Source organism: Homo sapiens, chromosome 19 (assembly GCF_000001405.40).
Source record: "Homo sapiens chromosome 19, GRCh38.p14 Primary Assembly".
NCBI classification, from domain to species: domain Eukaryota; kingdom Metazoa; phylum Chordata; class Mammalia; order Primates; family Hominidae; genus Homo; species Homo sapiens.
Genome location: NC_000019.10, coordinates 51,331,276 through 51,344,763, shown reverse-complemented (window position 1 = coordinate 51,344,763; position 13,488 = coordinate 51,331,276). Strand labels below are relative to the sequence as shown.

The window sequence follows — 13,488 nt, the reverse complement described above, 5'->3', positions numbered from 1 at the left end:
CTGGTGTGAGACAGACAAGCCACAGAGAATCAAAACTTAGCGTTGCAATGAACAGCCTGGGTCTACAGTCAGGTTAATTTTTTTTTAATTATGTTTTTTGAGACAGAGTCTCGCTCTGTTGCCCAGGCTTGCACCACCACACCCGGCTAATTTTTGTACTTTTAGTAGAGACGGGGTTTCACCATGTTGCCCAGGCTGTCTTGAACTCCTGACCTCAAGTGATCCGCCCGCCTCAGCCTCTCAAAGTGCTGGGATTACAAGCGTGAGCCACAGCGCCTGGACTAATTTTTTATTTAAAAAATTGTGTTCCATTCCTCTGGCCTTCTGATAGAGTCAGATATATTGATTTCATATGCTCACTCTTACCTTTGCCAGCTAGATCTTGGGTGAGTTCCTTCCTATTTTGAGTTTCAGTTGCCTCATCTGCAGATGAAAATAGTAACAGCATCATGTAGAGGTTAAGGGTATGGGTTCTGGGTCCCAGGGCCCTGGGTCAAATCCCACTGGATCCATTCCTGGATCCAGTTCAGGATCAGTTCATGTGCCTCAAATGGGGCCAGGGGATTGACTTCCAAGAGGGCTCACCCACATAGCCAGCAAGCTGGCTGGGGCTGCTGACCAGGGGCCATGATTCCCCTCCATGGGGCTGCTGATCCTCGCAGTGTGGCGGCTGGATTCCATGAGGGAGTGTCCTATGATACAGAAAGTGGCATATGCCGGCCTAGATGCAGATCCTGGCACAGGGCCACTTCCACGTCTTGGTCCAGCAGTCACACAGCTACTCAGATCCAAGCAGAGGGGACATAGACCCCGCATCTTAACAGGAGGACGCTCAAATTTGCAGCCCTCTTTAAGCTACATCATCTACTCCATGGAGTTTTGAAAGGTTAATTTATGTAGCACCCCCATAACCACACCTGCTATGCAAAAAATGCTAAATATATATTATTACCAATATTAGTCCGGGCACGGTGGCTCACGCCTGTAATCCCAACACTGGGAGGCTGAGGCGGGCAGATCACTTGAGGTCAGGAGTTCATGATAAGCCTGGCCAACATGGCAAAACCCCATCTCTCCTAAAAATAACAAAAATTAGCCTGGTGTGGTGATGCACACCTATACTCCCAGCTGCTGCAGAGGCTGAGACGGGAGAATCACTTGAACCCGGGAGATGGAGCCTGCAGTGAGCTGAGGCACTCACTGGGTGACAGAACGAGACTCCATCTCAAAATATATATATATTACCAGTATTATTACTGGTGAGAACTGGGCCAGGGTAAGCTTAGAGGACTGGGAGCTGAGCAGAGGCCCTAAGCTCCACATGGGATGGTGGGAAAAGCTATCAGAAGGAGTCAATGGTCTGACCATCCTGGTCCCAAGTCCAGCTTCTCCCTCTGGCTGTGCAACCTCCTGCAGGTCCCTTGACCTCTCTGAGCCTAAGTCCCCTGGCCTGCAAAGTGAGTATAATGACACTCAGCTTATAGGGTGTTTAGAAGTGTTCAGCCTGATAGTGCATAGGAAACATTTAGCGTAGTTCCTGGCTCAAATTAAGTGGTAATTATGGTTCTTAATAAGGTGAGACCTGAAGGACAAGTTGTGGTTTAGCCAGGTTGGAGGGAGGTGGAGAGTGGGAGAGAGCATTCCAGGTAGAGGACTGGGAGGTGAGATGGGCGGGCAGGATAAGAATGGCAGGATGTTCAAGTGCTTGAGTGGGGGCTGTGCATGAGTTTGCTTTGAACCTTGGATGTCTCCAGAGGGCACTGGGGAGCCAGGGGAGGGCTGTGAGCAGGGGGAGGCAGGTTCAGCTCTGGGTATAGAAGGACCCTGGCAGGGAATGGAGGAGACTGGGCAGAGGAGGGAGACGGGGCAGGAAGAGAAGACAGAGCCTGGCCAGTGAGAACTAGGGGGAGGAGGGTTGGACTCAGATCGACAGTGGTGACAGGGAGGGAGGAGGTGGGAATGTTCTCCAGCATTTGCGAAGACAGTGAAGCCATCCTGGAGGTGTGAGGAAGTTTGGGTTAGAGGAAAGAGTCTGAGTTTAGCGGGACACAGGCCATGTGAGGGCCTCGGGGATGCGGAAATGCAGCTCTGGTCTCAGGATAGAGGCCCTGGCAGGAGATAGCACCTGGAGACTTGGTTCTGAGGGCAACAGAGAGCCGTGGGAGGGTTTGGAGCAGAGGAGGAGCAGGGTCAGATGTATCTGAGGCTGCAGGCAAGACAGAGTGGAAGGAGCCAGGAGGCTGGGGAGGAGGAAGCCTGCTCTGAAGCTGTGGCCATCAGAGGTGGGGCTCTCGGAAAGGTCACCTCACCCTCCTCCAGGAAGTCTTCCTGGCTTTGTCTCACAAATTTGCTCCCACATTTTTAGCTGGGAATGTTTTCTCCAGCTTCCCCCTGGGGGTGGGGAGGGCAGGGATCAGGCTGGGCCTCTCTGCAGATGGGACCAGCTAATGAAGAGAGTGGGATGAGGTGGGCAGCTCAGCCACCACACTGGGGTTGAGGATCTTGGCACCTCCCTCTGGGTCTGGCTCCCTTCCCCTCCCAGGAAGCTAAGCTACCAGTCCTGTTGGACTCGTCTGACCCGGGAGGGATGGGTGCAGTCCTGGGTCTCTCTCCAGTGTCCTTTCAGTGAGGCCAGCACCATGGACAACCCACAGGCTCTGCCACTCTTCCTACTCCTGGGTAAGTTCCCTGCTCAGTCCCTTCCCTGTCAGTCTCCCTCAGCAGCCTCCCCCAATGCCTTCCTCTCTTCTCTGCAGCCTCCTTGGTAGGGATCCTCACCCTCAGAGCCTCTTCTGGACTTCAGCAAACCAACTTCTCCTCTGCCTTCTCTTCAGACTCAAAGAGCTCTTCCCAGGGGCTGGGTGTGGAAGTTCCCTCCATCAAACCTCCCAGCTGGAAAGTTCCAGATCAGTTCCTGGATTCAAAAGCCTCTGCTGGAATCTCTGATTCCAGCTGGTTTCCTGAGGCCCTGAGTTCCAACATGTCTGGGTCCTTCTGGTCAAATGTTTCTGCTGAGGGCCAAGATTTGAGCCCGGTTTCCCCCTTCTCTGAAACCCCTGGTTCTGAAGTATTTCCTGATATTTCGGATCCTCAAGTTCCTGCCAAAGACCCCAAGCCTTCCTTCACTGTTAAGACCCCAGCTTCAAACATTTCTACTCAAGTCTCCCATACCAAACTGTCTGTTGAGGCCCCAGATTCAAAATTCTCCCCGGATGATATGGATCTTAAACTCTCTGCCCAGAGCCCTGAATCCAAATTTTCTGCAGAGACCCACTCAGCTGCAAGCTTTCCCCAGCAGGTGGGGGGCCCACTCGCTGTGCTGGTGGGGACCACCATCCGGCTCCCCCTAGTCCCAATCCCCAACCCTGGGCCCCCCACCTCTCTGGTGGTCTGGCGCCGGGGCTCAAAGGTGCTGGCAGCTGGGGGCCTGGGGCCAGGGGCACCTCTGATCAGCCTGGACCCTGCTCACCGAGACCACCTGCGATTTGACCAGGCCCGGGGGGTTCTGGAGCTCGCCTCTGCCCAGCTGGACGATGCAGGGGTCTACACGGCTGAGGTCATCCGGGCAGGGGTCTCCCAGCAGACTCACGAGTTCACGGTGGGTGTGTATGGTAAGTGGGCCCTGGCGTCCGGCGTGCAGGCGGCAGGGGCTGCTCTGCTCTGCCAGGCTTTGGGCAAGTCACGGTGCTGTGGGGTCCCTGGATAGGAGAAGAGGACTTCTGGGTTGAGGAAGGGAGAAAAAGAGCTAGAGGTCAAGGCAGGGGTGTCTGAGCAAAGGTGGACCTGGGATGGAGACTCCTGGGAGCCTGAACTCCCAGGTCTGAGGGAGGAGGAGGAGGCTAGGAGCCTCTTCTGGCGAACTCCTGGGTCCCGGAGAGGAGGTGTCTGGGGGCTCAAACTCATAGGTTTATGAGAGGAGAGGGATGGGGGCTGAGACTCCAGGGGCTTAGAGGGAGCAGCGGCTGGGGTTCCCTCTAAGGGGACCAAAGATGGGCTCCAGGACTGGGTGGGTCCTGAGCCCATTCTCCCTCTCCCAGAGCCCCTACCCCAGCTGTCGGTTCAGCCCAAGGCTCCAGAGACAGAGGAGGGGGCGGCCGAGCTCCGGCTGCGCTGCCTGGGGTGGGGGCCAGGTCGCGGGGAGCTGAGCTGGAGCCGGGACGGACGCGCCCTGGAGGCGGCGGAATCGGAGGGAGCCGAGACGCCCCGGATGCGCTCAGAGGGCGACCAGCTGCTCATCGTGCGCCCTGTGCGCAGCGACCACGCCCGGTACACTTGCCGCGTCCGCAGCCCCTTCGGCCACAGGGAGGCTGCCGCCGACGTCAGCGTCTTCTGTGAGTGGGGGATGCCTCGGGTCGGGGACAGGGGGTCCTTGGGGAGAAGCGGGCTGGGGACCCAGTCTCCGGGAGTCCTAGCGGCGTCCCAGGTGACCCTGACACTCGCGGTCCCGACCCCTCCTCCCTCCAGACGGCCCGGACCCGCCGACCATCACGGTCTCCTCGGACCGCGACGCCGCGCCTGCCCGCTTTGTCACCGCGGGCAGTAACGTGACCTTGCGCTGCGCCGCCGCCTCGCGGCCGCCCGCCGACATCACGTGGAGCCTGGCGGACCCGGCCGAGGCCGCGGTGCCCGCGGGGTCGCGCCTCCTGCTGCCCGCGGTCGGACCGGGCCACGCAGGCACCTACGCCTGCCTGGCGGCGAACCCGCGTACCGGCCGCCGCCGCCGCTCGCTGCTCAACCTTACAGTGGCGGGTGAGAGGCTGGAGCGGGAGTAGGGGAATGCCTGGGAGAGGGGCGGGGCCAGAACGAGGGCGGGGCTAGAGGAAAGGGGCGGGGCCAGCAAGGAGGAGCAGCATACCGGTGGGTGGGGCAGGGCCAGCGGGAGGGCGGGTCACCAAGAAGGAGCTGGGATACCCGTGGTGGGGCGGGCCAGCGCGGAGGGGCGGAGACACCTAGGATAAGAGGCGGGGCCAGAAAGAGGATAAGGGAAGGAGCCAAATAGAGTGGCAGGGATGACCAGGACTGACGGGCCGGCCCAGCACTGAGAGGGCGGACATTCCTGGGCATGGAACACTCGACAAAGTCGACAAGCGGAGTTAAATGGCAAAGAGTGGGAGTTAGAAAAGGAAAGAACTAATTTGCTTAAGTGGGATCAGCAAAGGGAGAAGTTACCTGGCAAGGGGGGCGGAGTCACCAGGGAAAGGGGCGAGGTCATTTAGAAAGCGGGCAGAATTGTCTTAGAAAGGGGAAGGGGTCCACAAGGAAGGGCGGAGATATCTGGGAAAAGGGGAGGCTTCTCGGAGTGCAATCCAGGAGGGGGCGAAGTAACCTGGCAGAAGTGGGTGGAGCTGGAAAGGAAGGGGCTGAGTTACGTTTGGGAAGAGAAATATCATTGTGTGAAGATGCAGTTTTCTTAAGAAAGTTGGGCAGTCAGCAGGGCTGCGGGCTACCCACTTAGCGAGGAAGTTAATGGGAAAAGGGAACGGGATCGCAGGAAAAGTGGGGAGTGTGAGCGCCTATGGGGTGGGGCTAGTGAAGAAGGGTGGAGTCACCGCGCGGGGAGGCGGGGCTGGAGAAGAAATGAGAAAGGGACTCCATCTTCATTCTCTCCCTTCTCTCCGCAGACCTGCCCCCCGGGGCCCCACAGTGCTCAGTTGAAGGGGGTCCCGGGGACCGCAGCCTCCGCTTCCGCTGCTCGTGGCCCGGCGGGGCCCCTGCTGCCTCCCTGCAGTTCCAGGGTCTCCCCGAAGGCATCCGCGCCGGGCCAGTGTCCTCTGTGCTGCTGGCGGCCGTCCCCGCCCACCCCCGGCTCAGCGGCGTCCCCATCACCTGCCTTGCTCGCCACCTGGTGGCCACGCGTACCTGCACAGTCACGCCGGGTGAGAGGGCGCGGGGCTTTTTTGCTGTTTCTCGAGGAGGAGGGAGACTTTTTCTTTGGTCCTTCGAAAATTCTGAAGGGGTATGGGGTACGTCCTTAGTCCAAGAAAGAGGCAGGACTTCACTGTCTTCAAACTAGAAAAGGGACAAAGATTTTCCTATACCTCATGGTGGCGGGGTGCAGGGATGGGGGTATTTTTCTGGACACAGGAAGAAGGCCATCACTTTCACACGTGTTCAGAGAGATAAAGCAGTGATATTTTAAAAAGTAACAAGGCCGGGCGCAATAATCGCAGCACTTTGGTAGCTGGGGGCGGGAGGATTGCTTGAGTCTAGGAGTTCAAGACCAGCCTGGGCAGTGTGGCAAGACCCAGTCTTGTAATTATTATTGCTACAAAATAATAATAATAATAAAGAAGAAAGAATAGCTGAAAATAATATGAGTTTCCCAGTACAGGGCCTGCGCCTATGGTATGTGTTCAATAAGTGTTTGATGAGGAAATCAGATAATAAATGAATGAATGAATGAATGAGCTAATGAGTGAGTAAATTGGCAGTTCTTTCTCAGGTGGCCAAAGCGTGGGGGCTTACCACCATCTGATTTAAAGTAGGGCATAGGATCTGTTCTTTGAATCCAAGGTAAGGTCTTGACTTTCTTAACTGGACTTCTCCCACCGGCAGAGGCCCCCCGAGAGGTGCTGCTGCATCCGCTGGTGGCAGAGACACGGTTGGGGGAGGCAGAGGTGGCACTGGAGGCCTCTGGTTGTCCCCCACCCTCACGGGCATCCTGGGCCCGGGAAGGGAGGCCCCTGGCTCCAGGAGGCGGGAGTCGCCTGCGGCTCAGTCAAGATGGGCGGAAACTCCACATCGGCAACTTCAGCCTGGATTGGGACCTGGGAAATTACTCCGTGCTGTGCAGTGGGGCGCTGGGTGCTGGCGGTGACCAGATCACCCTCATTGGTGAGCCACGTTATTTCAAAAAACCCTGAAGTCCACGTCCCCAGCCGCTCCAGCCCTCAGACCCAGAAGTTCAGGCCCCAGACCTCTCCTCCCTCAGACCTCGGATCCAGGCCCCCAGCCTCTCCTCCCTCAGACCCTGGAGTCCAGGCCTCAGCCCCTCCTCCCTCAGACCCAAGGGTCTAGCCCCAGCCCCTCTTCCCTCAGACCCAGGAGTCCAGGTCACCAGCCCCTTCCACCCTCAGATCCAGGAGTCCAGGCCCCCACCCCCTCCTCCCTCAGACCCAAGAGTCCAGGCCCCCAGCCCCCTCCCCCTCAGACCCAGGAGCCCAGCCCCCCAGCCCCCTTCCCTCTCCCCTCTGGCACCCAAGAATCCAGCCACCCCCACATCCCTCTAGGACCCTCCATATCCTCGTGGAGGCTTCAGAGAGCCAGAGATGCAGCCGTGCTGACTTGGGATGTGGAGCGCGGGGCCCTGATCAGCAGTTTTGAGATCCAGGCATGGCCAGATGGGCCTGCTCTGGGCAGGACTTCCACCTACAGGGACTGGGTCTCCCTGCTCATCCTGGGGCCTCAGGAGCGGTCAGCCGTGGTGCCCCTTCCACCTCGGAACCCAGGGACCTGGACCTTTCGGATCCTGCCCATCCTGGGGGGCCAGCCAGGGACTCCATCACAAAGCCGGGTCTACCGGGCCGGTGAGTTGGGGCTGTCAGAGTAGACCTTCTCTGTTGTGCCAGATCCTCCGTGTCTCCCTGTTTTAGTGTCCTGGGGCCTGCCCTAACAAAGTACCATGAACTGCATGGCTTGAGACTACAGGAATTTCTTCTCTCACAGGTCTGGAGGTCAGAAGTCTAAAATCAAGGTGTCGGCTGGGCGCGGTGGCTCACGCCTGTAATCCCAGCACTTTGGGAGGCCAAGGCGGGTGGATCACGAGGTCAGGAGATCGAGACCATCCTGGCTCACACGGTGAAACCCCGTCTCTACTAAAAATACAAAAAATTAGCCTGGCGCGGTGGCGGGCGCCTGTAGTCCCAGCTACTGGGGAGGCTGAGGCAGGAGAATGGCGCGAACCCGGGAGGCGGAGCTTGCAGTGAGCCGAGATCAGCCACTGCACTGCAGCCTGGGTGAAAGAGCCAGACTCCGTCTCAAAAAAAAAAAAAAAAAAAAAATCAAGGTGTCGACAGGGTCCTACTCCCTCTGAGACCCTGTGTAGAATCCTCCTTTGTGTCTTCCTAGCTCCTGGTGGCGGCTGTTTCATCCTTGGCGTTCCTGGACTTGCAGCTGCATCACTCCAACCTCTGCCTCCAGCTTCCCACAGGCTTCTTCCCTGTGTGTGTGTCTCTTCTTCTTCTTCTTCTCCTTCTCCTTCTTCTTTTTTGAGAAGGAGTTTTGCTCTTGTCGCCCAGGCTGGAGTGCAATGGCATGATCTCGGCTCACCGCAACTTCTACCTCCCAGATTCAAGTGATTCTCCTGCCTCAGCCTCCCGAGTAGCTAGGATTACAGTCATGCGCCACCACACCCAGCTAATTTTTGTATTAGTAGAGATGGGATTTCACCATGTTGGCCAGGCTGGTCTTGAACTCCTGACCTCAGGTGACCCACACACCTTGGCCTCCCAAAGTGCTGGGATTACAGGTGTGAGCCACCGCACCTGGCTTCTGTCCTCTTCTTTTAAGGACACCAGTTATATTGGATTAGGGTCCACCCTAATACCTCAAATTGACTTGGTTACATCTTCAAAGACCTTATTCCAAAATAAAGTCACATTCACAGGAACAGGGGTTAGGACTTCAACATATGTTTTTCTTTTGGGGTAGGCACAATTCAGTTGATAACATGCCTCCATTGGAGCATCTCAGGATTTAGTCCTCACTCCCCAAAGTGATCATGTTCATGCTCATGGCCTTCAATAACATTAATAATCAGATGACTCCCAAATGTCTTATCCTGGGCCCTGACTTCTCTCTTGAAAAGGATGCGCCCAACTTAAGATCTTCACTTTTTGGGGAGGTGGGGGGTGTGGACAGAGTGTTGCTCTGTCACCCAGGCTGGAGTGCAGTGGCATGATCTCAGCTAACTGGAACCTCCACCTCCTGGGTTCAAGTGATTCTCCTGCCTCAGCCTCCAGAGTAGCTGGGATTACAGGTGTGAGCCACCACGCCCAGCTAATTTTTTTTGAATTTTTAGCAGAGACAGGATTTTGCCATGTTGGCCAGGCTGGTCTTGAGCTCCTGACCTCAAGTGATCTGCCTGCCTCGGCCTCCCAAAGTGCTGGGATTACAGGCGTGAGTCAAGATCTTCACTTTGGATGTCCAATTAGCATCCCAAATGTCATATGCCCAAAACAGATCTTTCGATGTTTTCCCTCAAAACTGCATCCTCCAACCCTGCAGTCTTCCCCATCCTCATAAATGTCACCACTTACAGGCCACATCACCCCTGACATCCTAATTGCCAGCAAGTTCGGTCCATTTTCCTTCTAAAATATTTTCCATCTTCACCCCAAGGCTCTGGTCAAACACAGCATCCTCTCTTGCCTGGACTGCAACAGCAGTTTATTTGGTCTCTTTATACTCCCTCTTGCTGTCAGATAATGCATTCTCCACACAGAAGCCAAAGTTATGCAAATCAGATCATGAGGCTGCTCTACATAAAAGCCGTCCATTAATTTCTGCAGGACCCCTTTAGGATCTGGTTCCTGGAAACCTTTTCTACTTCACTCTCCACCTCCAGCCCGCTCCTTCCTTATCCTCCACCCACGCTGGCCTTCGTTGAACAGAGAAAGCTTTTCTAGTTCTGGGCCTTTGCATTTACTGTTCCCTCCTCTTGGAACGCCCTTTCCCCGGGTTTAGTATGACTGTCTCTGGTCTTTATTCTTCAAGTCTCTGTTCAAACGTTACTTCCTCAGGGACCTGAGCTCACCACTGTTTCTAAATGTCACATCCCTTCCCATTGTTCCTTTTTTGTTTTTTGTTTGTTTGTTTTCTTTTTTTGAGAGAAGGTCTCACTTTGATGCCCAGGCTGGAGTGCAGTGGCACGATCTGGGCTCACTGCAGCCTCAACGTCCCCAGACTCAGGTGATCTTGCCTCAGTCTCCTGAGTAGCTGGGGCTACAGGCGCAGCCACCGCACCTGGCTAGTTTTTCTATTTTTTGTAGAGACAGGATCTCGCTATGTTGCCCAGGCTGGTCTCCAACTCCTGGGCTCAAGTGGTTGCCCACCTTGACCTCCCAAAGTGTTGGGAATCACAGGTGTGAGCCACCACACCTGTCCCCCATTATCTCTATCACATCACTTTTTCTTTCTCGGGACAATCTGTGATTATCTTATGTATTGCTCATTTATTTATGTCTTCTCTCCTAGAATTAAGCCCCATAAGGGTAGATATCTTTCCTGTTTGGCCCACGAATGAATCCTCACTACCTGTCTGAGAGCCAGGCACACCACGGTCACTCAGTAACTGTTAAATGAGTTGAGAGTGCTGGGGTCCCACATTCCTGGGTTCTGGGAGGGGAGGGACAGTGGGGGCCGGACTCCTGGGTCCCAGCACAAAGTTAGGGGGCTTAGGAAACTTGGGTCCAACCTTGGTTCCTGTTCCCCTTCTCTTTCTTCTCTTTGTCTCTTCCAGGCCCCACGTTGAGCCATGGGGCCATCGCTGGCATCGTCCTGGGCTCCCTGCTGGGCCTGGCGCTGCTAGCCGTACTTCTCCTCCTTTGCATCTGCTGCCTGTGCCGCTTTCGTGGTGAGCAAGGGGACTGGGGAAGGGGCAACCATGACCAACGGGGAGGGACCCTAGAAAGAGGCCTATGGAAGACCTGGCTGAGGCAATCAGTGCCGTCATAGGTCATCCATCCTGCCCTCCTACCTCCAAATCAGCCAATCAGCATAAGGCTCCGCCTCTCCAACCAGCTTCCCTTGCTATTGGCTGGGTTGGCATGTTGGGGCAGCCAATCACGTGTTCCTGCTTCTCTTCTGCCTCTCAATCAGGAAAGACTCCTGAGAAAAAGAAGCATCCTTCTACCTTGGTCCCCGTGGTCACCCCCTCAGAAAAGAAGATGCATAGTGTGACCCCAGTGGAGATTTCATGGCCTCTGGACCTCAAAGTCCCTCTGGAGGACCACAGCTCAACTAGGGCCTACCAAGTGAGTGTGGGTGCCCTCATTTCCTCCTGGAATCGGGGCGGAACTTCTTGTATTACAGTCAGGGAGATGAGAGGGTCTCAATTATCTAACTCCAGTTTTACTTGTTAGTTTACAGTCTGTATAACTTTATCCTTTTTAAAAATGCATCAAAGTTGGACAGAGCTTCCCGCCCAACTTTGATGTATATTAAAATAAGAGTGAATTCCAGTTTCTTCTCCAAAGGAGGGAAATAGGATCTCTCTCTCTCTTTTTTTTTTTTTTGGAGACAGAGTCTCACTTTGTTGCCCAGGTTGGACTGCAGTGGTGCAATCTCGACTCACTGCAGCCTCCGCCTCCTGGGTTCAAGCGATTTTCCTGCCTCAGCCACTTGAGTAGCTGGGATTACAGGCAAGCACCACAACGCCTGACTGATTTTTGTATTTTTAGTACAGACGGGATTTCACCATGTTAGGCAGGCTGGTCCCGAACTCCTAACCTCAAGTGATCCGCCCACCTTGGCCTCCCAAAGTGCTGGGATTACAGGCATGAGCCACTACGCCCAGCCCCTCCATTTTTCTTTCCCATAAAAATTGGGCAAGGCCCATTTTTCTCTATGAAGTGGGGTACAGTTACCTCATTCCCCATAAAAGAAGGATTGTTGTGACTGGGTGTGATAGTTCATGCCTGTAATCCCAGCACTTCGGGTGGTTGAGGAGAGAGAATCACTTGAGCTCAGGAGTTCGATACCAGCTTGGGCAACATAGGGATACCCCATCTCTACAAAAAATTTTAAAATTAGTCGGGCATGGTGGCACGTACCTGTAGTCCCAGCTACTAGGGAGGCTGAGGTGGGAGGATTGCTTGGGCCTGGGAGGTCAAGGCTGCAGTGAGCTCTAACGGTGCCACTGTACTCTAGCCTGGATGACAGAGTGAGACCCTGTCTCAAAATAAATAAATAAATAAATAAATAAAAAATAACAACTGGGTTGGGTTGTTGGCTGGCTTCGCTCCACCAAGGATAGCCAGGCATTTTTTTTCCCCTCTCCAAATGGAGGGTTCCCAGATAATCTCTAAAAAGTTCAAGCAAGAGCTAGAAAAAGTTAGGCGGGTGAGTTATGTCACATCCAGAGTACCTACTGAGTTCTCCCCTCACCCCACCTCTCTCTTCCAGGCACAGACCCCAGTTCAGTTGTCTCTGTAGGCGGAGGCTCAAAGACTGTTCGCGCAGCCACACAGGTGTGATCAGAGCCAGTGGTCTGCCCTGCACAGGGCGTTTTGGGCCAGAACTTCCTATTTCACTCCAGCAGCAGCCAGGGCCTGCTATGACTGAGGGTTGGACCCTGAAAGTGGGACTTTCTGTCTCCCTCTCTTGCTGCAGAAGAAGAGTCTTCCTGTATTTGTGCAAGTAAGGAGATGTGACTTCTTGGCTGGGAAACTCTTGCTGATCTAACTGTGTGGTTTGCACAACCTCCAAGCCTCTGCAGCAGACAGGCAGGGCTTGCTGTGTTGCTCTGAGCTAGAGAGGGAGCTTGGCCATGTTCTCTGAAAAGGTCCCCTTACATTCACTTTGCCACCTGTAGGCCACACCCCATCCAGCTCCCAGCATCTTCATCTTAAAACAGATCAGATCATGTCACTCTTCTCTTTAAACGCTTCTACGGCCTGTGCATTTCCCTTCAGATATTATCCAAACTCATCGTCGTGACCTTCAAAACCTTGTGGTCTGGCCTCTGTTGGCCTCCCTGACCTCCCCTCCCAATTCTTTCTCTGCCCCCGGACTCCAGTATCACAGTCTGTCTCTCAGCCACAATTTATTTTGCCCCTAGAGTTTGCTGTGCTTATAACACTTCTTTTTCCCATATGTCATTCATTTCTCAAGTCTAAGAGTAGCAGTTACCATCTTAGACGACCGTTCCCTTACCCCTCCCTTAGTCTTGGGTTAAGTCCCAGAATCCTTGAATTTGCCGTTCCTGATACATAAATATGTAATTTCTTGTGTGGCCTGAGACTCTCTCTCTAAACTAAGGGCTTTACAAAAGCAGAGACCACATCATTAACTCAGCACTTAACCCAGAGCCTCACACACAGCAGGCAATCAATAAATATTTGTTGACTGATCAAATGTTTTGGTGCCAGTGAAGAGTTGGGCTTGCTGCTGCTGTCTTCAGCGTAAGTCTTGCTTTTTCAGCTGGGTTTCTAATTGAGAATTTAGAGAGTGCATTGGTGAGGATTCTTTTGACTGCAAGTAACAAAATAAAATGGTGGCAAGAACTATGGAGGCGGCTGGTTTCAGGCTGGCTCAGCAGCTCAGTAACGCCATTAAAGACATGGGCCCTTTGCATCCATCTGCTCTGCCACCCTCAGTGGGTTGGCACATTGACTCTAAGCATGTTGCTTCACGTAGCAAGATGGTTGCTGCAGCTCCAGTCATCACATCTTCACACAACTGTATCCAAAGATAAAAGGAAGGGGGCAGAACTTCCTCCCTATACATCTTCCCCACCCTCTACCTCCCTCTATCACTGCCTTCTTCCCT

At 54.4% G+C, this 13,488-nt stretch overlaps 1 protein-coding gene and 1 long non-coding RNA gene across 2 annotated transcripts, besides 4 other annotated features; one reads left to right on the top strand and one right to left on the bottom strand.

Moving 5' to 3' along the window:
• VSIG10L-AS1 (VSIG10L antisense RNA 1) lies at positions 69-4,744 on the bottom strand. Its single transcript, NR_186316.1, has 5 exons — positions 4,047-4,744; positions 3,590-3,698; positions 2,779-2,914; positions 953-1,076; positions 69-692 (listed from the first exon to the last, which is right to left on the bottom strand). It is a non-coding gene; the product is annotated as a VSIG10L antisense RNA 1 (long non-coding RNA).
• Positions 83-182: an enhancer, noted in NCBI's record as "active region_15012". NCBI's record gives its function as "activates an Ori minimal core promoter by ATAC-STARR-seq in GM12878 lymphoblastoid cells {active_cell/tissue: GM12878}" and the evidence as "EXISTENCE:reporter gene assay evidence [ECO:0000049][PMID:35858748]".
• Positions 313-402: an enhancer, noted in NCBI's record as "active region_15011". NCBI's record gives its function as "activates an Ori minimal core promoter by ATAC-STARR-seq in GM12878 lymphoblastoid cells {active_cell/tissue: GM12878}" and the evidence as "EXISTENCE:reporter gene assay evidence [ECO:0000049][PMID:35858748]".
• Positions 2,625-13,223, top strand: VSIG10L (V-set and immunoglobulin domain containing 10 like). The gene is made up of 10 exons (NM_001163922.3): positions 2,625-2,679; positions 2,757-3,611; positions 4,038-4,331; positions 4,465-4,749; positions 5,622-5,876; positions 6,556-6,834; positions 7,230-7,526; positions 10,460-10,573; positions 10,819-10,973; positions 12,124-13,223. The coding sequence occupies exons 1-10, from the start codon at positions 2,640-2,642 to the stop codon at positions 12,151-12,153; spliced, it is 2,604 nt and encodes an 867-aa protein (NP_001157394.1). The 5' UTR covers positions 2,625-2,639; the 3' UTR covers positions 12,154-13,223.
• Positions 4,591-4,860: a silencer, noted in NCBI's record as "silent region_10984". NCBI's record gives its function as "represses an Ori minimal core promoter by ATAC-STARR-seq in GM12878 lymphoblastoid cells {active_cell/tissue: GM12878}" and the evidence as "EXISTENCE:reporter gene assay evidence [ECO:0000049][PMID:35858748]".
• Positions 5,511-5,850: a silencer, noted in NCBI's record as "silent region_10983". NCBI's record gives its function as "represses an Ori minimal core promoter by ATAC-STARR-seq in GM12878 lymphoblastoid cells {active_cell/tissue: GM12878}" and the evidence as "EXISTENCE:reporter gene assay evidence [ECO:0000049][PMID:35858748]".
• Positions 13,224-13,488: the final 265 nt, after the last annotated feature.

Bases quoted from the DNA above. Each gene is read 5' to 3' on its own strand.
- VSIG10L (NM_001163922.3), top strand. From the start codon at position 2,640: ATGGACAACCCACAGGCTCTGCCACTCTTCCTACTCCTGG. The intron at 3,612-4,037 runs GTAAGTGGGCCC...TCCCTCTCCCAG, and splicing joins GTTCACGGTGGGTGTGTATG to AGCCCCTACCCCAGCTGTCG. The intron at 10,574-10,818 runs GTGAGCAAGGGG...CCTCTCAATCAG, and splicing joins CTGCCTGTGCCGCTTTCGTG to GAAAGACTCCTGAGAAAAAG.